General features: G+C 39.0%; 2 long non-coding RNA genes and 2 pseudogenes across 3 annotated transcripts in view, besides 2 other annotated features; 2 read left to right on the forward strand and 2 right to left on the reverse strand.

The window, feature by feature from the left end:
* The first annotated feature begins 689 nt into the window (after positions 1-689).
* YY1P2 (YY1 transcription factor pseudogene 2) lies at positions 690-2540 on the forward strand (annotated as a pseudogene). The gene has a single exon (NR_033658.1). The product of NR_033658.1 is annotated as a YY1 transcription factor pseudogene 2 (transcript).
* On the reverse strand, positions 4770-6198 carry AHCYP4 (adenosylhomocysteinase pseudogene 4; annotated as a pseudogene).
* Positions 5520-6020: an enhancer, noted in NCBI's record as "H3K4me1 hESC enhancer chr2:139659724-139660224 (GRCh37/hg19 assembly coordinates)". NCBI's record gives its function as "activates a minimal SCP1, AML or CMV promoter by ChIP-STARR-seq in primed H9 embryonic stem cells {active_cell/tissue: H9 hESC(primed)}" and the evidence as "EXISTENCE:reporter gene assay evidence [ECO:0000049][PMID:30033119]".
* Positions 6021-6521: an enhancer, noted in NCBI's record as "H3K4me1 hESC enhancer chr2:139660225-139660725 (GRCh37/hg19 assembly coordinates)". NCBI's record gives its function as "activates a minimal SCP1, AML or CMV promoter by ChIP-STARR-seq in primed H9 embryonic stem cells {active_cell/tissue: H9 hESC(primed)}" and the evidence as "EXISTENCE:reporter gene assay evidence [ECO:0000049][PMID:30033119]".
* LOC105373639 (uncharacterized) lies at positions 13421-20599 on the reverse strand. The gene is made up of 3 exons (XR_923370.3): positions 20482-20599; positions 20010-20171; positions 13421-13853 (listed from the first exon to the last, which is right to left on the reverse strand). It is a non-coding gene; the product is annotated as an uncharacterized LOC105373639 (long non-coding RNA).
* LOC105373640 (uncharacterized) overlaps positions 20591-25863 on the forward strand; it is a 58027-nt gene continuing 52754 nt past the window's right edge. The window contains exons 1-2 of the long non-coding RNA XR_923371.2: positions 20591-20678; positions 23329-23426. This is a non-coding gene — a long non-coding RNA (uncharacterized LOC105373640). The remainder of the gene's footprint in view (positions 20679-23328; positions 23427-25863) is intronic.

The following is a 25863-nucleotide window of genomic DNA, read 5'->3' on the forward strand; positions in this document are numbered from 1 at the left end:
GTTTGGGTTTGCTGATCAAATCAATTAGAGTATTTTTCCCTAGTTCACTCACAGAAGGGGAAATTGCCTTTTCAAACATTGGAGAAAAACAAGGACCCCAGACCAAAGGTCCAAAGAATTTAGGTATACACATCTGGGGAATCGACCTGGGGCCTATTTGTATGAAGAATATCTACTCATAGCTTGATCTATTTATCTATCTTAAATTTTTTATCACTTTATTGAAGTATAATTTATACACAGTAAAATGCACAGATTATGAGAACGCTTAGATGACTTTTGACAAATGTGTACACCCACATTATCAGCACCCTATTCAAGACATACAGTACTTCCATCATCTCAAAATGTCTCTTGCATCCCTCTTTGCAGGAAATTCCCATATCCCCTGTTCTGAGACAGTCTGATTACTATTACCATAGCTTCGTTTTTCCTATTCTAGATCTTTATAAAAATTAAGCTTCCTTCCTCACAGTTGGCCACCTCCTTGCCTGCCACCACAGCTGAGGAGCCCAGGCCACTGGATGACACCCTCTGCATGGGTACAGACGCCTCGGAGATGCTGGCTGAGATCTTGCAGCTGCAGTAGATCTAGGTGGACATCATCCTGGTGAAGACCATTGAGACCATGATGGTAGGCGAGGAGGAGGACAATGACAATGAAGACGGTGGCAGGGGTGGCCATAGGCATAGGGTGTGACCACCCACACCACCTGGCCAGGATCTGCTGCAGCCATTCCTCACGACGACCTCACCCAGGTTCACCACCACCAGGAGGTGATCCTGGTGCAGGCATGCCAGGAGGTGGTGGGTAGCGACGACTTGGATGGGGAACCAGATACTCATCCTGGTGCCAGAGCTGGCCAGCGGCGACCACCACCACCACCTCGAGCAGGCCCTGGTCACCATCGTGGGGGCTGGCAAGGGTGGATGTGGCACCATCTTGGGCAACAAGAAGTGGGGGCAGAAGCGAGTGCAGATCAGGAACCTGGAGGGCAAGTTATCTGTCTCCATGTGGTACTCGGATGAAAACAAAAAGACATTAACCATAAAATAGTGGTTGAGAAACAGATCACTGGAGAGAACTCACCTCCTGATTATTCAGAGTATATGACAGGAAAGAAACTTCCTCCTTGGAGGAATACCTGGCATTGACAGCTCAGATCCCAAAAAACTGCAGAATTCGCCAGAATGAAGCCAAGAAAAATTTAAAAGATGATGTTCCATGAACAATAGCTGGCCCTCGCCAAGGCTGCACAAAGATGTTCAAGGATAACTGACATGAGAAAACATCTGCACACTCACTGTCACGGAGTCCACTTCTGCACAGAATGTAGAAGAGCTTTTGTTGAGAGCTCAAAACAAAAACCACACAAACTGGTTCACACTGGAGAGAAGCTGTTTCAGTTCACGTTTGAAGACCGTGGGAAATGCTTTTCACTGGACTTCAATTTCCACACACATGAATTTTAAAAAGGCTTTAAAAGATGCTTTATCTTGCTCTCTAATCTTGTTTCAAAAACATGGTTTTTTTGTAAAGTGTGTTCCCAACAGGACAACTCGTAGATGCAAAAGACAATTCTTTATACAACAGTGCTAAAAATGGGACTTCTGTTTACATTCTTGCAAGTATGAAGCTCATTTGTTGCTTATAATTTTTTAAATTTTTTATTTTCTAAGTGTGCATATTGTACACTTTTTGAAGATATGCTTAGTAATGCTATGTGTGATTTTTCTGGAGGTTGATAATTTTGCTTGCAATAGATTTTCTTTGAAAGAATGGGCAGTTACATGCATGCTTCAAAAATATTTTCCTGTAAAAAAAGTTATATAGGATTTGTTTGCTATATGAATTTTGGTTATATTCTTTGATGTTAACACATTTTGTATAATTGTATCATATAGCTGTATAGAGTCATGTAGTATCAAATATTAGATGTGATTTAATAGTGTTCATTTAAATCCATTTTAGTCACGTTTTTCCCAAAAAATACTGCCAGATGCTGATGTTCAGTGTAATTTCTTTGCCTGTTCAGTTTCTGAAAGTGGCACTCAGTTATAGAAATGTTGTACCTTTTAAAACCTGTTGTGCACATTCCATGTAACAAAAAGGGCAACAATAAAATAGCCATCCTAAAGAAAGAATATGGCAGAACAAGCTCTGTAAGCACAGTCTTATTTTCTTTTGTTGTCCAGAATACTTATAATTCTTGAGTCTCCCAGAAATTGGAAGCTAAATAAAGCATCTTCTTTCCTTTATTTTGAACTCAGTTACAATGATTTGTTATTAAAGTGATGCATAGATATTTCAATACTAAAAATAATTATATAGTATGTACCCTTGTATCAAGTTTTGTTTACTGTACAGAATGCTTTTGAGATACAGCTAGACTATTGTATTTATGCATAGGTTTTTATTTATTTATTTATTTATTTATTTATTTTACTAGTTTTGTTTTGCCATTCATGACTTGATGGGTATTTGGGTTGTACCCAATTTGGGGCTGTTATGAATAAAGTTGCTATAAATACTTATGTATACATCTTTGCCTGAGCATAAGTTTTCATTTCTCCTGAGCAAATTCTTAGGGGTAGGGTTGCTGACTCATGTAGGCAGTATATATTTAACTTTCTAAGAAAATGGTAAACTGTTTCCCAAAGTGGTTATATGTTTTACATTGTCTACAGAAGCATAGAAGAGCTCTAGTTTACTATACATCTGCTCTGGCACTTCATATTGTCACTCTCAAATTTTAGCTCTTTTAGTATGCATGGAGTTTTATTTTGTTGTTTGAATTTTCGTATTTCTAGTGACTAATGAGTTTGAGCATTCTTTAACATATTCACTGGCTATCTTAATATTTTTATGGTGAAGTATTTGTCCAAGTCTTTTGCTCATTTTTAAACTGGTTGGTTATTTTTACTATTGAAGTGTAGCAGATTAAAAAAAATATATTTTCGATACAAGTTCTTTGTTGTACGTATGTACTAAGAATGTTTTATTCCAAACAATGGTTTGCCTTTTGAGGCACAAGATTTTAAAATTTGATGAAATTTATCAATATGGTTAGTGTTTTCTGTTGAATAAATATTTGTAAATTTTTAGAGAAGATAATTTCCTGTATTTTATTCTAGATAATTTAAATTTATAGTTTCTATATTTAGGTCTTTGATCCATTTGGCAGGGATATAATTTTCATGTATAATATGAAATGGGGGGGTGAAGCTCATTTTTTTCCCCATATGAATATACAGTTGTTCTAGCACTATTTGTTAAAAATATTTTTTTTCCCAAATATTATCTTGGCGTTTTGTTGAAAATCAATTGATCCTATGTATGTGGTTCTAGTTCTAGAGCATATTCTATTCAGTTGATTTATTTTTTTATTCGTATGCCTATACCACTTTTTTTTAAACTATTGTAGCTATAGAACAAGTCTTAGAATAAGCTACTGTATCTCTATCAACATTTTCCAGATTGTTTTAACTCTGAGTTTTTTTGAATTTCTAAAAATGAATTTGAATCAGCTGGTCATTTTGTAGAAACATTTCTGTAGGATTTTGTCTGGCATTGTTTCTGAGTTTATATAGCTATCTGGAGACAAATAAAATATTAATACTGAGAGTTTCAATTCAATTGTTTAGGTCTTCTTAAATTTCTCTCAATATTCTTATAATTTTAGCATACAGTTTCTATAGATTTTTATTAAAGTAATTTCTATCAATATTGTAATAATAATAGGATGCTATCACAAATAGTATTTAAATTTTGTGCTACTGTAAATGGTATTTTAAAGAAGTTTATTTTCCAGTTTTTAAGTGATTAGTATATAGGACCATAGATAATTTTTGGACTTTTCAGCTTCTGATCTAATTTTATTAATTCTAATAATTTATTTGATATATATTTTATGAATATCTATGTAGTCAAACTACATGCAGATAATGAAAGTTTTTGCTTCTTCCTTTCCAATCTTCATAGCTTTTTTCTTATCTATTGCTCTGGTATAAAGATATACAGAAGTGGTAAGAGCAGACTTCATTTTTTTTTTTTCCACCAAGATTTTTATTTACCCACCTTTCTGCTTTCTTTTAACATTATAAACATTGTAGGCCAAATTATTCTCTGATAGGAACCATCAGGTTACAAAGTGGTGGCAGATCTCTGCCAGCTTTTATGTTTTTATGGCCCCTCTCAACCTCTGGCTGTCACTTCTCTGTTCTTTCTCAGTTGCCCCTTAACAGTCTATTCTAATCCCTGTAAAACAGGGACTAAAAGTACTAACCTCATTGTTATGAGGTTTAAGAGAAGGCCCAGCACTAAGCCAGTCTCTCAGGAAAATTCGATCGACAGATCTTCTTTGCCCTTCAATATAGCTCTTTCTCATCTGTCATGGGCTGAGGAACCACTGGACCTGTCAACCAAGCACACAGGTATAAGTCCATAGACCAGGTGAAGGCCTAGATGACAAAATACACGGGCTTTGTGACTCCACTACTGACTGAGACTAAGGAAGGACTGACTTAGTGGGCAGTTCTAAGACCACTGAGCTCATGGTTCCCTGTGGCTGGGACCTCCATCATGACCGTGGCTTCTGGAGGGGCCTCTCAGTTCCCGCTGCCACTCTTGGAACAGTATGAGGACTGCAGCAGAGGCCAAAAACTGAGTGACCGGCCCCAGAGAGTCGATGGGGGACACTGACAAACGAATCACAAAGTTGGTGCCGTTTGCTCTTAGGGAGGAGAGGAGGGGCCTGGGCAGGGACAGCGGCTGAAAGGTGAAGCGCAGACCGGGTTCTCAGTAGCGGTAGTGATCTGGCTTGAAGGGGCAGTAACAAGACATGCCCAGGTACTGGGCCTGCTTCTCAGTCAGCTTGGTCAACTTCATGTTCAACTTGCCCAGGTGGGCTTCAGCCACTGACTCATCCAGCTTCTTGGGCAGGAAGTGAACCCCAACGGGGTACTTGTCTGGGTGGGTCCACAGCTTGATCTGCGCCATCACCTGGCTGGTGAAGGAGTTACTCCTCACGAAGCTAGGGTGACCCATGGCACAAGCCAGGTTAACCAGCCGACCCTCAGCCAGCAGGATGATGCCCCGCCCATTCTTCAGCCGGTACGGGTCCACCTGCAGCTTGACGTTCACCTTCTCCACAGTGTTCTTGTTGAGCCACTTGACATCCATTTCCACATCAAAGTATCCAGTGTTACACACAATGGTATCATCCTTCGTCTGCTCAAAGTGCTGGCCAAGGATGATGTCAACACAACCTGTGGTGGTGACAAAGACGTCGCCCTCCTGACAGGCCTCATCCATGGTAGTCACCTCATAGCCCTCCATGGCAGCCTGCAGTGCCTTGATGGGGTCAGTCTTGGTGATGATGACGCTGGCCCTGAAACCCCGCAGGGCCTGGGCACAGCTCTTGCCCTTATCGCCATAGCCTGCTACCACCGCTACCTTGCCGGCAATCATCACGTCTGTGGCCTGCTTGATACCACCTATGAGGGGCTCCCACAGCCATAGAGGTTGTCAAACTTGCTCTTGGTGGCGGAGTCATTGACATCGATGGCAGGCACCTTCAGAATCCCATTGACCATCATCTTGTACAGGTTGTGGACCCCGATTGTGGTCTCTTTGGATATACCTCGGAAGCTCAGCAGGAGCTGCGAGTACTCGCTGTGGATGAGGTTGGTAAGGTCGCCCGTCTTCCAGAATCATGTTAAGGGGCCCGTCCTTGAGGTACATCATCTGCTCAATGCACCACAGGTACTCCTCGTCTGTTTCGCCCTTCCAGGCATGCCAGCCTTGGCAACGGCAACACTGGAATGCCAGTGCTGGCTGAAATGCCAGCTTTGGCAATGGCAGCAGCCGCATGGTCCTGGGTAGAGAAGATGTTGCAGCTGGACCACTGCACCTCAGTACCCAGGGTGATGAGGCTCATTAGGACGGCAGTCTCCACGGTCCTGTGCAGACAGCCAGGGATGCGGGCGCCGTTCAGTGGCTTGGAGGCGGAGTACCGCTCCCATATGCGCATCAGGCCTGGCATCTTGTTCTCTGCAATGTCCAGGGCCTTGCGTCCCCAGGCTGCGACTTTGTAGGGCAGTTTGTCAGACATGCTGGTGGCGCTCGTGATGGGCACGGGCGAAGGGGGCTGGGCCTCAGTCTGGGGACAGGCACTGGGCGGTCGGCGCCGGGCAGGGCAAGAGCAGACATTCTTGCCTTGCTCACTTGGTCTTGGGAGAAAGAGTTCAACGTTTCAACATTAAATATGATATTAGCTGTAGGTTTTTCATACATGCCCTTTATCAGGTTTGTTGAATGTTGTCACATATTTTTGCTGCATGAATTGAATAACTTATACTTTTTCTAATCTTCTGTTAATGAAGAGAATTCCAACTATTAATTTTTGGATGTTAAAACAAACTTGCATCTTGGGATAAACTCCACTTGGTCGTTATGAATTATCCTTTTTATATATCATTGGATTTTATTTCTTAATATTTTGTTTAAAAATTCCTCCATCATGATTGTGGTCTGTGATTTTTTCTTGTAATATCTTTGTCAGGTTTTGGTATCAGAGTTACATTATTCGTATGAAATGAATTAGAAAAGATTAATTATTTTTACACATTAAATAAAATTTATCATTGAATACATCTGGACTTTTAGTTTTTAAAATTTTTTTGTGGGAAAGTTTTATCGTGATTTCTTTATCAGATAAGTGGCTATTTTATTTTTTTCGTTTTTGTGTCAGTTTTGCAAAGTGCATTTTACAATAACTTTATCCAATATATAGTAATTCAAATTCACTGAATAAAAGTATTTTTCAGTAACATTTCATTGTGTTTTTAATGTTTCTAGGACACAAAATGATATACCATATTTTATTCTTTGGGTTGATAATTTGTGTTTCCTTCCTTTTTATCCCCTGGTTCGTCTAGCTAGATATATGCCCCCCTCCCCTTTTTTTAAATCCTTTTGAAATTAATTTTTTGTCTTTTTATTTATGATGCTATTTGTTTTTTCCTGCTATATGAATTTATGCTCTTCTATTTGTTACTTCTTTCTCTCTGCTTATTCCTTATTTAATTACACTTATTCAGGCTTTTTAAGTGGAAAATCTAGATTGTTGATTTCACATCTTTCTGCTTTTCTTTATTTAAAGTGATAGATTTTTACTTTTATAACTGTTTTAGCTACATCCTATCCATTTCGTCTTTTGTATTATCATTTTGGAATAATTCTAAACTCACTTTTGATTTTTTCTTTGATTCACTGGTTACTTAAAAGAGGGTTATTTTCCATACTTTTGAGATTTTTCTGTATATCTCAATGTTATTGATTTTTATTTTAATTTTGTTGTGTAAGAGAACAAATATATTTTAAATAATTTCAAGTTTTCAAAATTTCCTGAGGCTTATGATATACCCAGTATAGGGTATATTTTCGTGGTTGTTCCATGTGATTTGAAAAGAATGTGTATTTTGTCCTTGTTTGGGTATAATATTCTATGAATATCAAATTGTTTTGATTTGTTTATTCAAATATTCTTACTAACTCATACTGTGTGTGTATGTGTACTTGTTCTATCAAGTACTAAGAGATGTAAAAATATTCTTTCATTGCTATCAATTTTTGCTTCATGTATTTTGAAGCTTTTTTATTATAGATATTTTAGATATACATTTAAGATTATTTTGACTCTTTTATCCTTTTGAAATGACCCACTACTTGCCTTGAAGTCTAATTTGTCTGACATTATTACAAATTCACAGGATTTCTTATGGTTAGATTTTGTGTGGCATATTTTGTTCATTTTCTTTTACTTAATTTTCTTTCCCAGTATGCTGTCAATGTCTTTATTTAAGTCATTGGTAAAAATGTTTAGGCCAGGAACAGTGGCTCATACCTGTAATCTCAGCACTGCTGGAAGCTGAGGCAGGTGGATTACTTGAGACCAAGGAGCTAGAGACCAGGAGGTTGAGACCAGCCTGGCTAACATTGTGAAACCCTGCCTCTACCAAAAATACAAAAATTAGCCAGGCATGATGGTGCACAGCTGTGGTCCCAGCTACCCAGGAGGTTGAGGCATGAGAATTGTTTGAACCCGGGAGGCGGGGGCTACAGTGAGCCGAAATTGTTCCACTGCACTCCAGCCTGGGTGACAGAGAAAGACTCTGTCTCAAAAACAAACCAATAAAAAAAGGTTTAACAGTAGCAAATGTCTTATTATTCCACTCCCATTTCTTCATTTATTTCCCCCCTTTATTGACTTTTCCCCCCACATTCATACAATGCTAAATTAATGCCAAGGATATTATAGGTACTTAGTATTTATAGCTTTGAGAAACAAAAATATTTATAGCTTTGAAAAACAAAATGTTTTATATGTTTTCATATATTTAGCTTTTGTGGTATTTTGCATTCCTTCCTGTAGATTCAATTTTCCATCTGGTATAATTTTCCTTCATCATGAAGAACCTGCCTAGCATGTTTTAAATGTTGCATTTATGTTGGCAATAGTCTCCCAGTTTTCATGTATTTAGAATTCTGATTTGATAATTTTCTTCTTTTGGTCCTTTAAGATGTTGTTATATTTTCTTCTTGTCTCTCTTGTCTCTGATGGGAAATCATCACTCTCTTTTATAATTTATCCCCTGTATTAGTCTGTTTTTTCTTTAGCTATTTTTATGAGTTTTTTCTTTGTCTTCGTTTAAAGCCATTTTATATGATACTCTTAGATGTGTGTGTGTGTGTTTTCAATTTATTGTACTTGGTGCTTACTGGCTTTTTTGAACCTCTAAATTGACATTTGTAATCAATTTTAGAAAGTTTTTATTCTTTCTATCTCTATATTCTATTTCTATATTTTTTCATTTCTTATTCTTTCTTATTCTATATTCTATGTCTATATTCTTTCATTATTTTAGCTATTTTTTCATTATTTATAAAATGCAATACTATGTATTTGACTACTTAATATTGTTACACTTCAATCATTATTTTAAATATTTTTCTTTCTGTGCTTTAGTTTGAGTGATTTTTGCTGTCCTGTTTTAAGTTTATTTGTGTCCAATATGCTCATAAACACATTCAGTGAATACTTTATTTCAGGTATCTATTTTTTAGCATCAGGATTCTATTTTGGTTTTCTTTTACAGTTTGCAAATCTCTCCAAAATTGCTTTGCTCATTATGCTTACTATTTTGTATAGATTCTCATACAAATTTATCAGACATTTATATGTTCTTATTTTATAATTCTGGCATCTAAACTGTGTATCTATTTTTATTAACTGATTTTCCTCTTGATTATTGGTCTAGAACACATTTTACTGTTTCTTCACATATCTTGTAATTTTTTTATTGAAACCTAGACATTATGTATAAAGAAAACTAGAGACTGAAGTGGACTATGAGGTTGCAGGAGTAGAAACCCATAAAACTTTGAAAATGAGAGACAGTGAGCTTACAAAACATGAGGCCATTCACATTGTACCTGCACATAGAATGTCCATAAAATTTTAAAAGTCACAGTATTGAGGCTTGTCTGATCCTATTTTAATGATTCCTAAAATTTCAGTTGAATAATGAAGTTATCCCTACATTTTCACCTATAGCAGTCTCTAATGAAGAAGGAACTTATCTTGAGTGAAGAAAGAGTTGACATAAAAGGCTTAACGAGTAGTTATCTACAGTCATGCATTGCCCAATGATTGGGATATGTTCAGAGAAATTCATTCAGAACAAATGAACCATTTTGAGTTTGATATCTCAAACTAGTTGCTATTTTTCCCACACACAAAAAATAGAAGAACTGTATGCCATTGTGATTGTACTCCTCATGAGACACGAACCAGAGATTTTTGGATTAGAAAACACTACCATGAATTTATTGTGCTCCGTGGCTAGTGTAACCTGAAAAAAGAATGAATATAGACCCTGAAAAAAAGGGGCTAGATCTGACTCTACCACAGAGACATTGAGACATTTTGTAGTGATTTGCTTCTTATTCTTGACAATATGATGATTAGAGCGCATAATCATAAACTGCCAAGATGCATGCTTTGTTTGATGGCAGGAAAAGATTGAATTATTTCTCTGGAAGGAAGATCAGGAAAAGAATGAGCTGCTGCAATTGTAAATGTCATTACTTATGGAGAGCCAGAGGAAAGTGTTCAAAGTGGTCATGAAAGCCAATGTACCAATTAAGTAAAGATCTTGAGGTGAAGAAGTAAATGGAGACTAAATGGCTGCGAAGCATGAGAAGCAGGCCATGTGCACTTAGGAAACATTGAGCAAAGCAGTTCCATCAGTTGTTTATTCTTGCCTCAGTCTTAAACATTAAAGGATTCAATTGTAAATTCTTTTTTAAACTATTATGGTATAAAATTAATTAATGTAAAAATGTGTGTCTTTACCATGTACAACATATTTTGAATTATGTAAACATTGTGGATTGGCTAAACAGAACTAATTAACGTATGTGTTATCTCACATTATGTATCTTTTTTTGCGGTAGAAAACAAAATCTACTCTGTTAGCTATTTTTAAGAGTATAATACATTGTTGTTAACTATAATCACCACTTATTCCTCCTATCAAACTGAAATTTTATATCCTTTGACCAAAATCTCTCTGACTCACTCCCCATCCCCTACCCAGCCCCAGGTAACCACCATTGTACTCTCTGCTGCTATGAGTTCAACTTTTAAAAATTCCACATACAAGTGAGATTATGTGGTATTTGACTTTTTGTCCCTGGCTTATTGGGGTTAATATAATGTCCTCCAGGTTTATCCATGTTGTTGCAAATGACAGAATTTCCTTCTTTTTTGAAGGCTGAATAGTGTTCTATTGTGTAAATATACACCACATTGTCTTTATCCATTCTTATGTAGAGAGACACTTAGTTTGATTCCATATCTTGGCTGTTGTAAATAATACTTTAATGAACATGGGAGTACAGACATTTCTTTGGCAGGTTGATTTAATTATAAATCCTGTGAGAGACTGTCTGCTTGGACCACAAAATGTGCCTCACATTATTTTCTGGGGAGGCGACAAAAACTTCTCTGCCCTGTATTTCACAGTTACAGGATATTTACCTGATGTTGGGGTGACAAGGACAGAGTTGGAGAGGATGTCAGGACATTATTCTTCTTTGATGCTGTATATTAACTTCTCCATTATTCCCACTGAGGTGAATGCACAAATATTACAAATAAATTCAAGCGTATTTTTGCTTAAGTTCTCTGGTGATACATTCAAATTGCAAAGAGGTAGAGGCCATGCAAAACCATGTTTTGTGGTGTGCTGTGTCACTGTGGCTCTCATTCCCCATTTGCACTGTATGAGAAGACATGGCCTCATTGCTCTGACCTGTTGGAAGACCCTCATTGTCATTCCACAGGTAAGCCCTTAGAATCCTCTTCTTTCTTCTTTGTTACAACCATCTTCCTCTAGCCTGTGACCTCCAGACCATGGGTTACATAATAAAGTGTCCCTCTATTAGCTTGACAACAAATGACACCATAATCAATTGTTCCTTCCCAACACCTGGATTTTTTTTCTCTGATATGAGTGGTGAAGGTGGGAAGGACATTTCATCCTTCCACATGGGCCAGTTTTTCCCCATGGCCTAGAGTCTCCTTTAGTACTGCCTTATCCTTGAACATATTTCCTCTTAGATCCTTTTCCTGACCAAACTCTTGATTGAGTTGTATTTGCTTATTTATTTAGGCCCCTCATAGTGTAGCTATGCATATTTATCTAGTCATTTCTATGTTATTTATATAGTTATTTTTAGTATGACCTGAAACAAAATATCTGCTCTTTGAGCTGTTTTTCTATTACCAGTAGGGAAAGCCTGAGCTTATCCTTCCATACCTTCTTGCCTAGTGCCCAAGGCATATATTTAAAGGGAATGTACCAAGGTTAAAGGAGTAACTTTTGGTTTCTGTAAAAGAGTTTTTGGTACTTATACAAAATGAATCAATGAACTAACACTATTTAATGAGAATTTACTCGACCCTGAGTTTAATATCTTTTGCACTGTCCTCAGTTCTGTTAAATTGATCTAACTCAGGATTCCCCTTTTTGATGCATACGGTGGCCTTGCTGAGAGTAATATTGAATATTAAAAAACTTTGTGCTGGATACCTGAGAAAGAAAATTCTGAACTTCTTCATAACTAAAAATTACAAAATTTTGTATATATATCTTGACTGCATTGTGCAGAGAACCAAGGGAGGGTAACAGAAAGGTCTCAAGTTTATTAATGAAGCTAAATATGTTTGTGATGAAAGTCAACCCTACAGCCAGAATTGATGCTGGAAATAGAACTAGCGTTGAAGTGGGAGATAGAGCTGAAAAGAATATTGTGACTTGTGCTACTACTTGTCATAATGTAATGGAGAGGACCCAGTGAAATAACTAGTATAATTACCTGCTGAGAGAATGGACTATATTATAATTATACCAGAAAGAGAATCACATGCAGTTTTTTTAGACTCCTTAAATCAGAAAAATTACCACCTCAGCTGGACATTTCCCCAAGGTCTATGAGTCTTTTCATTGCCTAATCAAAATCTCTCTTGCTGAAGTTTAACATAATATACCTAATAGGTGAAATCAGGACTGCAAAGCCAGATTTTCTGGGTCTAAATCCTGGCTGTTTCACTTATTAACTGGATGCTCCAGTTCTGCAAGTTCTCTGTTTTATTTTTAACAGAATTTAAGACAACATTAAATGTTTTATTTTATTTTAGTGGTATTTTAAAACAACTTTAAAGGGTGGGTACAAAAAGCAAATTAATAGATACATGTAAATTACTTGTAGCACCCCTTGGCATGTATACATGTATTGAGGGCTTTGTCAGTGTTCACATTTTTATTGCACATTTTTTTCCAGGTGAAAGAAATCAACATTTCATTCCCAAGTTCTCATATAATATCACCTTTAAGCAAACACTATCTTTTATTAAAAGGTCAAATCTTAACGAGTCTGAGGAGAATGGCTTCGTAATTCTTGGAGACTGTTTACCTTCCCTTGGTAGCAATTCCATTAAATGGAACATATGCCACCTCTTTGACAGACAAGAGCTGAAAGAACGAACTTCCTGCGGAATACAACACAAGGGTTTTGTTAACAGTCAAATAAGAAGCTCTTGAATCAAATAGAACAGAAAGAAAGAGAGAAATTTATGAGAATTTGAAAATAGAAAAGTGAGACATTTTTGGAAAGGCAGAGAAAAAGACCGTGTGTGTGTGTGTGTGTGTGTGTGTGTGTGTGTACATATGTTCAGTTATTAGGTTACTAGTCTATAACACTGTTTTTTCCCTTGAGAATAGTTTCCTAAATATATGATGAATTTCCAGCATGGCCTAATTTTGTGGAGCATATTCATACACAGAGAAAAACTCTACTTCAGTGTTTGTTTTATTTGCTCAAGGTCTTATTCTCTGAAATAGGAATGCAGGATATTGGTGTGGCATTCCTATGTTACAGATCCATCCTGGCCAGCGGGTCATAATTTCCTCTGTTCCATTTGGTCCATGACTCCCTTGTGTCACAGGAAGGTAATGTTTGAAATGCATCACCTTGATGGCGCACTCTGTCACCCTGCAGCAAAACTTTTCACTCACGAGATAGCACTTAATTCATATGTTCTTTCCAATCAATTTAAACTTTCAAAAAAATCAAATATTGTTTTGCACGACACAGGTGATATTCATGAACTTATTACCCCTCTCAAAGGCCATTTCTCTTGGCAGCTGCTTTACACTGAATAAAGATGAGGCTTCTTCACTCCATCAATTGAGACTAACATCAGTGCAGCTGTGTCCTATTGAGGCTGAAAAAGTAAAAATGAGATTAATTTTTCAGTGAGTTAGATTCATCTATAGAGAACATAGAGACAATTTAGGCCAGACAACTTTGTTTTAGAAGGTTTCACACCTCTACACTATTAACAAAGTTGCTTCCATATTTAACTTTCATTTTGACTAAACCCAAAGGGTTAGACATTTTTTCTTCTTATTAGAATTGATGGTCTGTGTTGCACAGGGCAGACAGCTCAGTTGATTTTTACTTAGTGTCAATTACATTTGGTCTAAGGCCATGAATCTCACCCTGGAGGTACATCAGAATCACCTGGGGAATAGGAACGGTATAAAAAACTCAGGAAACATTGTCAATGTGTTTATTTTTTTATATTCATACTTTTCTCTGAATGCTTGCTTATGCAATGACATATTCATTTATCAGAGCCAGATTTCTGCAGACACTGGAAATTAAAATAAAATAGGACAGATTTCTTGGTTTTAAGAAGCTTACAGTTGACTGACAGGGAAACTAATAAAAAGGCAATTTCAATGCATGGTTCTTCTTAAATTATGTGAGAAAAAGGAGATCTTCTAACCTGGTGGCTCAAGACATACATTTGGTGAGGAGGGAGGCTTACTGGACGAAGTGTCCACTTAACTGAATACTGCAGAAAGAAAAGGCGTTAGCAGGATGAAGTAGGGTAAAGGAAATTTCATGAAAAAAGTCACATAGCTGGAGCATGAATAACAGTCTTTTTCATGTACTGAAACAAAACAGTTTGATTTTGCTAGAATACCAAATACAAGGAGATGAGTAAAAAGCGATAAGACTGGAGAGGTAGGCAGGATTCAAGTTTCCATGCACCTTCCATGCCAGGCTTAGGAGGAGAGATATATCCTATAAGTGACAGAAAGCGTGTTAAAGGTTTTGGGTTTTCATTTTAGATGGCTCCTTCATGCTTCCGATAACATCATGGAAAACCAAACAAATGCAAATATATAAAGCAAACTGGATAATACAGATTAACATATCTCAGACATGGTAGACCCTGGTGGAAAAAAAGTACTTGCCATCAATCAGCAATCTAAATTAAGCACACAGCCACAATATAGGGCCTTATAAGTCATAGAAGTGGCCAAAATGGTCATTTCATTAAGGTTGACACAAAGGAGGAGTCCCTTCTGGCTAAAGAGTTTAGAGATGGTGTATTAGACTGTTTTCATGCTGCTGGTAAAGACATACCTGAGACTGGGCAAATTTACACAAGGAAGAGGTTTAATTGGACTTACAGTTCCATGTGACTGGGGAAGCCTCACAGTCAAGGTGGAAGGCAAAAAGGAGCAAGTCACATCTTACATGGATGGCAGTAAGCAAAGAGAGAGCTTGTGTAGGGCAACTCCTGTTTTTAAAACCATCAGATTTTGTGAGACCCATTCACTATCATGAGAACAGCAGGGAAAGACCTGCCCCCATAATTCAGTCACTTCCTACTGGGTCCCTCTCACAACATGTGGAAATTATGGAAGCTACAAGATGAGATTTGGGTGGGGACACAGAGCCAAACCATATCATTTCACCCCTGGTGCCTCCCAAATCTCATATCTTCACGTTTCAAAACCAATCATGCCTCCCCAACAGTCTCCCAAAGTCTCAACTCATTTCAGCATTAACTCAAAAGTCCACAGGCCGAAGTCTCATCCAAGACCCTTCTGCCCATGAGCCTTTAAAATCAAAAGCAAGTTAGTTACTTCCTAGATACAATGAGAGTACAGGCTTTGGGTAAGTACAGCCATTCCAAATGGGAGAAATTGGTCAAAACAAAGGGGCTACAGGCCCCATACAAGTCCAAAATCCAGTGGGGCAGTCAAATCTTAAAGCTCCAAAATGATCTCCTTTGACTCCATGTCTCACATCCAAGTCACACTGATACAAGAGGTAGGTTCCCATAGTCTTTGGAAGCTCCACCCCTGTGGCTTTGAAGGGTACAGCCTCCCTCCCAGCTGCTTTCATGGGCTGGCATTGAGTGTCTGTGGCTTTTCCAGGCACATAGTGCAAGCCGTCAGTGGATCTACCATTCTGGGATCTGGAGGATGGTGGCCCTCTTCTCACAGCTCCACTAGGCAGTGCCCCAGTAGGGACTCTGTGTGGGGGCTCCCATCCCACATTTCCCTTCTGTACTGTCTTAGCAGAGGCTCTCCATGACGACCTCACCCCTTCATCAATCTTCTGCCTGCACATCCATGCTTTTCCATACATCTTCTGAAATCTAGGTTGTTTCCAAACCTCAATTCTTGACTTCTGTGCACTCATAGGCTCAACACCACATTGTACATGGATGGCAACAGGCAAAGAGAGAGTTGTGCAGGGCAATTCCCATTTTTAGAACCATCAAATGTGGCACATATACACCATAGAATACTATGCAGCCATAAAAAAGGATGAGTTCATGTCCTTTGAAGGGACATGGATGAAGCTGAAACCATCATTCTCAGCATACTAACACAAGAACAGAAACCAAACATCGCATGTTCTCACTCATAAGTGGGAGTTAAACAATGAGAACACATGGACACAGGGAGGGGAGCATCACACACTGGGGCATGTCAGGGGGTGGGGGGCTAGGGGAGGTATAGCATTAGGAATACCTAATGTAGATGACAAGTTGATGGGTGCAGCAAACCACCATGGCACTTGTATACCTATGTAACAAACCTCCACATTCTGCACATGTACACCAGGACTCAAAGTATTATGATAATAATAATAATAATAATAATAATAATAAACCATCGGATCTCATGAGACCTATTCACTATCCAAGAGGAGCATGAGAAAGACCCACCTCAATAATTCAATTATCTGCCTCTGGGTCTCTCTTACAACACGTAGCAATTATGGGAGCTACAAGATGATATTTGAGTGAGGACACAGAGCCAAACCATATCAGATGGGTAGCAGAATACAGTGGCCCATGCTTGGCTCTGAATAAGGGGTAAAATTTTGATAAGCAGAATTCTAGAAAGAAGGAAAGAATGACATGAACAGACAACTGCAAATGTGAGGTCCTTGTTGTTGATTGACAAAATGGTCAGAGCATGGGGATTCTTAAGGGGCTAGGAATGGAAAACACTATGAAGTTAAGCAGGAGCCCAATCATAGCATGTTTCTTGAATGCCAAATCCACAATTTGGAAATTTATAGAAAAATGTGATCCAGGGAAAATTTCTAAGCAAAGGAGAAGCATCTTTAATACTAGGTGCTGTGAAGTTTGACTTAGTATCAGAGTTCCTTATGGAATTAAAAAAATGCAATTAATAATCTGAACTAGTATGGTAGCAAGTAGAAACAGAAGAAATCTAGGAGCAATGAGATTACTTGCCTATTTCTGATCTATTGGCCAAAAGCATTTTTATCAAGGCCATTGTGTGATTCTGAACTTCATCTGGAATTGGAAGCAATGACTTTGGTGATACCCCCAGTACCCATAGTCATGAGGACTAAATTTTACACTGGAAGGTGGAGCTAACTATAGTATGTGGAGCATGAAGAAATTCAGTTATTAAGCCAGTGCTCCCCAACTTTCCTATTGTTAAAGACTCTTAGATAACTTGTTAAACAGATTTATAGACCCCACCAAGGTAACAGAATCAGATGCTCCAGGGGAGCATGTGTGCTGAAGCCCTGTCCTACCATCAGACAAGTTGGTGAACCTAGATCCAGGGAAAATGTGACTTCAAAGCACCAAGGTAATTGATGGGCTATAAAGGCCTGTGTTGACATCATTTGCACAGCAGTTTTTAAAGTATAATGGTCATTAGTTTTCCCAGGTCCTGAGAAGTTAAAGTCATAACCCAAATCTGACTGTTTCCCCTTCCCTCCTCCACTATCACCCTATTTTGATCCACCACTATCTCCTTCCAGGGTCGCTCTAATGTATCCTAACTGGTCTCTTTGTTTCTGTGCTTTCTGGGATATAGTCTGTTTCCAATACAAGAGATGAAATAGTCTTTTAAAAACAAATCTCAGATCATGCCATGCCTTGCTCTACAACCTCCAGTGATTTCTGTTTACGCATTTTAAAAATTCAAACTTCTTATCATGGCCTCCAAAGCCCTACAGGGGCTGTTCCCTGCCCATCTGTCTTGTTTCAGCTTCTACCACTTTACTTTGCTCATGCTGGCTTGTTTCCTGTTGCCCTTGGCATCAAAAGCTTGTCAATCTCTTTGAGTTTGGCCCTCATTATTCTTCCTTCAAGGGACCATCTTTCTCCAGATATTCACTGGACTTGTTCTACAGTGTCATCCAGAAAGGCCCTCCTAACCCAAATGTAGACGAGCTTCTATGTACCAAAATCACCTCTTCATACTCCTGTTTAACCCTTTTCCTGATTCATTTCACCTCAAAAGTCCTATCACTATCTGATCTTTTATTACATATGCATAAATATGTTTTCCTCTGTCTCCTCTACTAAAATGTATATGCCCTGGGATTGTGCATTCTATCTGGCTGTCTAGTTCACCATATTCCCCAGTGCTGAGAATGGTTTCTAACAGTTAGTTTATGCTCAATAAGCATGTCTTGGATGGGTGGGTGAATGAATGATGTACTCATAATGCAAGAGGAGTTATTTGGTGTATATGCCTTTTGAATCAGTGCCTTTTTCTACGCTACCATCTCTATAATCCAGCCTTTAATTGTCTGAACTACATACTCTTTGTAATCTTTTCTCATATTTTTATGCTTACACACCAGATGACCTGTTTTTTTTGTGCGTGTGTGAGATCATTATTTATACAATATTTTATTACATACATTGGGAGAGATTTCTATTAGGCACAGTTAGGCTACGAAGAACATTCCCATCTTTATTGGCCTCTTGATACTTCTCTCTTCTCATACTTGATTTTACCCTAGGTGTTTGAGCATCCTACTCACATGTCTGAGGAGGGAGACCATCTAGTGAATGCCAAGACTCTGTCCGAGGGCTTTACCTAGGATCAAGTAGTCCTTGGTTTCTCTGACCTTCCTCCTCATCTTTCTCTAATAGAAGCAGTCTCCTACTGGACTGAGAGTCAGAGACAAGCTCTTAGAAAAAGTTGTTGCTTCTAGCGAAGGTATACTTAGGTCCAGATTTGGGACATTACTAGTATTTAGAGGGTCTGGACTCCATTAGCCTCAGGAAAGTCTGATGTCCAGGTAGGCAAAAGCTCCTGTAAAATACACCATTCAGTGTGGCCAAATTTATATTTCCCAGTTTGTTTTAAAGACATGAGATTTAGAGCAACATGGCACCGGGCCATTGATTTGGTCTTTATTGTGTCTATCTCACTGGCATTAAGTCAGTCATAATTATCTAATCAGCTCTTTGATGGTCTGTTTATCTGAGATTTTCTAATTTCTAAATTCACTTCACAGAATAAGCTAGCCAATGAGCAATTCCAAATGAGGTTTACAAGACAGACTTAGGATCTCTTATAATCACTGCTATCTCTGATTCATTTCACCTGTTGAAATTCAGGAATATAAAATTTGTTGTTATTGTGGCTATTTTAAATATTCTACCAGCTATGTGCTTTCTTTCTCATATTTGATTGCGGTGTCCTCCCTAAAAAGAAATTCACCTGAAATCATAGGTTGTGAACTCAAGATAAGATGGTAAGAATCATTAACTGGGTTGCATACAGACGATACAACTGTGCATGCAAACAAAACTCTCATCAATACATGCACATGCACAGAGATCTATCAGCTGCATTTACACCTTGCCCAAGCAACAAACACATTACATTCTTCCTTTATCTTTTCAGAGCAAGATAGGTCAGCAATTGCCTCAGAGTCTAAATCAGTACTTCATTAGAAGAAATTGCTCTTCTTCTAGAAACATCGTTACATTGACAGCATGTTGAGAGGAGCCTAAGGGTGGGCTTCTACAGTTTAGCTCCATGCCCAGTGGCCCTGCCTGCCTCACGCTGACCTGCCTTCCAGGATGTGCTGAGGAAGTTTCCTGACTAGGAGCTTCAGCCCCCGTGGCTTCTGCCTTATTTCCTAGGCAGGCAAGAACGGTTGCCTGTCTGGTAAAGTTTCGCTTGCGGAGGACCTGCCTGGAGGCAAATCTGTCTAGTTATCTCCTTGCCTTTTGAAGTGACACTGCACACAGCTGCTTTTGCCTCATCTCAGCTCCTACCTGCCTGGAAGAGACTTTGCCTGAGAAGTCCTGACCAGGGCGCCTGAAGACTTATTTATGTGGGATGAGAATCTCTCCACAGGAACCCAGAGAGTCGATTTGCACACCATGCTTTTCATCACTGAAGGCGATATTTTTTTCTTTTGGTTCAGATGTCTAGAGCTAAAACAGAGAAAAATATTTTCCCAGTTGAAGAAACATCCCTTTACAAATTTGACAAGGGTAAGGGTAAGGCTCTTATGACAAGTAATTGGCATGAAAACTGGTAATACGTGGTATTAAAGGGCATGAAAAAAGGAGAGCGACTGCTATCCTTTAAAATGGCTGTGAACTTGAGTAATGAAATATTTTTGGGGAAAAGGTGGGTAAAATGTGAGTGGCTTTTAAAAAATGAGTAATTCTAAATTAATTTTGAGAGATTTCATATTTTCTAAGTTATTAATAATCATTTAATTATATGACTTTTGCCTACATTTTAGTATTCTGGAGGAAAGAGATCTAAATCCTTTGGGGCGAGTCACTGAAGTTGCTTGACGGCTGTTTTGCTGCCTTCTACCTGTAGGGTAACTGCTGCCTTCTACCTGTAGGGGAAGCGCTTCCTCTGGAGCGGGGGATGCAGCACCCGGAAGCAGTCATGCCAGGCCTGCCTGATTCCCATCTTCTTGCCAGGTAAAATCTGATTGAAGTGGCGGGGCTTAATACCTAGGTGAAGGGTTGATAGATGCCGCAAGCCTGCATGGCACACGTTAACCTATGTAACAAACCTGCACGTCCTGCACATGTATCCCAGAACTTAAAATAAAATAATATTAAATTAATACTAAAAAAATCTGGTTAGGCCGGGCGCGGTGGCTCACGCCTGTAATCCCTGCACTTTGGGAGGCCGAGGCGGGCGAATCACCAGGTCAGGATATCGAGACCATCCTGGCTAACACGGTGAAACCCCGTCTCTACTAAAAATATAAAAAATTAGCCCGGCATGATGGCGGGTGCCTGTAGTCCTAGCTACTCGGGTGGCTGAGGCAAGAGAATGGCGTGAACCTGGGAGGCGGAGCTTGCAGTGAGCCGAGGTCGCGCCACTGCACTCCAGCCTGCACTCCAGCTCCTAGTCCAGCGCAGAGCGAGACTCCGTCTCAAAACAAAACAAAACAAAACAAAACAAAACAAAACAAAACAAAAACCTGGTTAAAGTGAACGCCAAAGCAGCAGGGTTGATTGAATTAGGGGTGTGGCTGCCTGCAGTGCCTTGGAGGTGGACAGGAAAGGAATCCTTGAGCCTGCCTTTGCTGGCTTATGTAGTCCTGATTTCTGGGACTTCCTCCTGCTTTCTCCCTGAACCTGTAGGCACTGGCATAGTTCTGGTTTCCTGGGTTCCCAAATTGGGGTCAAAGTGGGAAGAATAAGCAAAGCATCAATAGAAATGACCAGAAAATATCTTCCATCACTGCATCGCCATATCTGGTGGTGGCTGAGCAGTTTGCAGAGGCTGCTGCAGACTGCCACAGTGTGCTTTCATGGGTGATGGAGGTTAGGAACCAAGACCTTAGAGCTGGATCAGCCTACTGTGGATCCTGGCTCTGACACTTAATTGCTGGGTGAACTTGAGCAAGTGACTTGAATTCTCCGAGATGTAGTTTTCTTATAAGAAATGAGGATACTAAACCCCACTTTGTAGGAGTTCTATATGTTCAATGAAATAATATTTGTTAAGTATCCAATATAGCATGGCTCATTGTAAAGGCTCAATTAAGGGTAGCTTTTGGGGGTAGTTATGTACATGTGCTAAGATAGAAACTTTTGCTGTTGTAGCTATTCCCACCTCAGTATAACCAATGCTCAGTGAATAACAGGTGAAACATCGACTCTGTGTGGCTCTTGACTGCAGGTTTAAAATCCCAGACTCGTTATCCTCTCCTATTCAACATGCTTGCTCTCACCAGTTGTTACTTTGCAAAGTGCTCTAAAGTAACCTAAGACAAATCAAGAAAATTAAATAAATCACAATTATACTTCCAAACCAGTTTTATTTGCTCTAGATCAGGGTCAGCAAACTTTTTCTGGAAAGAGCCAGATAGTAAATATTTTAGGCTTTGTAGGCCATAAGGTCTCTGTCTAACTACTAAACCCTGCCATTGTTATGTGAAAGCAGCCAGAGGCAATTCTTTAAAAATGAGATTGACTGTGTTCCAATAAATCTTTATTTATAAAAGCAGATGGTGGGCTAGATTTGTCCTGCGGGCTCTGATTTGCTAGCCCTTTACTAGAATATGGTGATTATGTTCAATCTTGGGACATTTTGCTTTGCTTTTTGTTTGTTTCTTTAACAAGAAAAAGATACAAGAGAAAGTGATGGCACGGAAAGTGATACCTGGACCTCTGGAGTACAGTGTCCTAGTCCCAGTGCTGACACTAGCATACTGAGTCACATGAGAATTACATGGGACTTCTCTGAAGTATTTCAAAATGAAAGATTTTCATTTTAAAAATCATACGTTGGAGCTGGGTCTCTCAAAACATATTTTTTACAGTTTTATGACCTGTACTGTGCCTTAGATGTCATATCTGACTGCTTAACCATTCTCACACACACCACTTGTCAAGACAAGATCATCAGCCAGTGCTTATGAGCCATCGATGTTTAGGCACTGCCCCATAATTTAACTCTGCTCAGGTCAATATGTGCAGTGAATGTTCAACAGCAGGATGCTGAAGCAGTGTCTAGAGGTTGTATTAAGTGGGATAGAAATAAGTGGGCTAAACAGAAAAAATGCTTTAAAAACACTAAAGTGCCATCCTAAATTAGTCAGCCAGCTGTGGATTGCTTAGGAACAGCAGGATCAGCCAGACAAGACTGGCTTTCAGCCTGCAGGTCAAGGGATAATGTGTTTGACCTCCTGTGCACCCGTGAGTAAATGTTGCTGGCTGTAACACTGCCTCATCCACATAGCCAGGGTTTGTCTCCATGGAGCCAGGAGGCCATTCGACTAGGCCTTCCTCACAGTCAACATGGCTCAAATTTAGACTTTCAGCATTATCCCCAAATAAGGTCATACATACTAGCACAGAGATACATGACAGGATGGAAAAAAATATGTTGTAAAATATGGAAAATATGTCTCATTACCATGCCACAGTGCTTCTAGGACACAACAAATTAATATTTTACGTTAACTTAACAAAATATATAGTGTAGAGCAAATAATATGCCTTTTGTCTTTTGTGTTTTACAAGTATTAATTTGTTAAATGTAAACAACTCAAATAAAACATGTTTTTTTGATAACCAAGTTTAGGCATATCTTTATTTTTTAATGCCCTAGAGATCTTTGAAAGTGCAGGTGGAACAGAGTTCTTGCCCCATGGCTCCACTACCGTTGCAGTCATAGTGAACGTGAGACCAGATGGCAGGGATCTGATGGTAATGCATTTATTAATTTATTTGATACCCGTAATTTCTGCGAATATCTAAGCTCTTAGATTTATGCTAATTTAAAGTGCTATTTTAAAGACTCAAAGATGACTATTCACTTAAGCCCTTTTGGTGATTTCCCATTGCTCTTAGGGCAATATCCAATGTCTAGAAACTGCCCTGTCTCTTCAGGCTCATTTCATACCAGCCTCCTTCCTTTTTCTTTTATTCCAACCATGTTGTTTATCTTTCGGTTCATTCCTTGCCATGCTCTCTCTCTCTCCCTTGATCTCTGCACATGATATTCTTTCCTGGAACCATCTTCCTACCTCATTCCCTAAATGGCTGGTATATTTCCTTAGGTCTCAGCTTAAAGGATGTTAGAATCCCCTAAACATTTCCAACTCCTACACCAGCTCACACTTTCTGTTTTAAGCTGTGACAACCTCTATCATAAGCACCATCAGAGATGACTGGAATTGCTTATGTAATTGTATGTTTCCCCTGTAAGACTGCATATTTTATGAGGTTAGAGATTATGTCTGTCTTGTTCAAAGCTATACTATCATCCTGCACATTGTTCAATAAATATCTGTTGCATGAAAAACCTTTACCAATGACCAGAGGTTTTTATATTTTCTCTAGAGAAGAGAGTGCTGTAGCTTCTACTTGTTTGCATTGAAGGAATTCAGGACATGCCACCCAAAAATATACTACCGTGGCATATTGACCGTTTTGAGCTGAAGGCACTTGAGAAACAGCAGATACAGGAAGGGCTTTCTGAACTCCTCTTTTCCATCTAAAAAACAGGCTATAAAATTTGCCATGAGAAAGGTGCCCTTCCTGTACAAGGAAGAGAACATCCTTATCAGCAGAGACTGGAAATCAATGCTGAAGTGGATCTGTACAAACAACCTTACTAAAATAATCCTTATCTTCCATTAGTTTCCCCCAATATGTCTCTTAATCACTACCCCATAGCTTACTGTTCCTAGCCCAAACGCCTGTGTCTTGTCATTTGTTCACAAATCTTTCATTTCTTTGTTTAAATGGCATATAAGCTTTCTGCTCTGGTCACTTCTTTGAGGCTTCACTTTCTTGTGGGGACTCCAGGTACATGTAAAATTCTAAGACTGGTACATCTTTCTCTTGCTAATCTGCCTTATGTCAGTTTAATTCATAGGTGCAGTCAGAGGCCCCCCAAAATAGAAATTGTTTCCTCTCCTACAGCATGAGCTTAGTGGTAATCTTTGAATAGGAAGGGAACTGTGTTGCTTGCACTTTTATACATGTGGACATGTAAAAGCTGGCTAAGAGAAGTAATTAGTAAATTGGGCCTGTGTGGACAAGCCAATTCTCATTCTAATGCTGTGAATACTTAATAGTCATAAAAGGGTACTGTGGTACATAAAAAGGATATTCACACTACAGTGAAATGCACAATTCAGTGTTGAAGATTAGAGCTTGTAAAGGAATACAATTTTTCATTTGGTCTGTCTATTACAGGTTTTGGACATGCTAAATGTCTTGATTGAGAACACTGCTTAAGTGATAGATTACTGACCCCAAGGCCAACAGGGATCAGGCATTAATGTAAAGAAAAGGGCTGGGTGGGGACTGGGGCAAAATGGGGTTCAGCCATAGGTAATTGTTTCCATGTGGAAGTGTGAGCTTGGACAGGTGTTTTGATTTTTGAAGAGAAGCAGAAAATCCATAGCATTGATGTGAAATAATGATTTTTTTTAAATGTTGGTAAATAATTTCAATTTTTTAATTTTTTTGAGATGGAGTCTTGCTCTGTCACCAGGCTGGAGTGCAGTGGTGCAATCTCGGCTCACTGCGACCTCCGCCTCCCAGGTTCAAGCGATTCCCCTGTCTCAGCCTCCGAGTAGCTGGGACTACAGGCCTGCGCCACCCCGCCCGGCTAATTTTTTTTTTTTTTTAATTTTAGTAGAGACAGGGTTTCACCACGTTGGCCAGGATGGTCTTGATCTCCTGATCCAGTGATCTGCCCTCCTCGGCCTCCCAAAGTGCTGGGATTACAGGCGTGAGCCACCGCACCCGGCAATAATTTCAAAAATTTTAAATACTTTTCTTAGTAGACAAAACATGTCTGCTGGGCCACCAGCTTGCCAGCTGTGAATTTAAAACTTAATCATTGGGCTGCAATCAGAATTACTGAGACAAACAATAAAGTTGCTGATGCATGAATAAATGATGCATGGATATTTAACTAAATTAACAACTGATGCATAAATAGTAAATCAAAGAATTTTAGAATGAGAAGGGACATTAGAATCACCTTGGAACACCTTTCTCTATGATACAGATGAAAAATCTCAGGTCCACAAAAATTAAATTCTCGGGCTTAAACTCAGATGCACAAATTAAATAACATGGACTTGAATCCAAGTGTTTTGATGCTTGGCTTTTCCCACATCTCCAA

Source organism: Homo sapiens, chromosome 2 (assembly GCF_000001405.40).
Source record: "Homo sapiens chromosome 2, GRCh38.p14 Primary Assembly".
NCBI classification, from domain to species: Eukaryota; Metazoa; Chordata; class Mammalia; order Primates; family Hominidae; genus Homo; species Homo sapiens.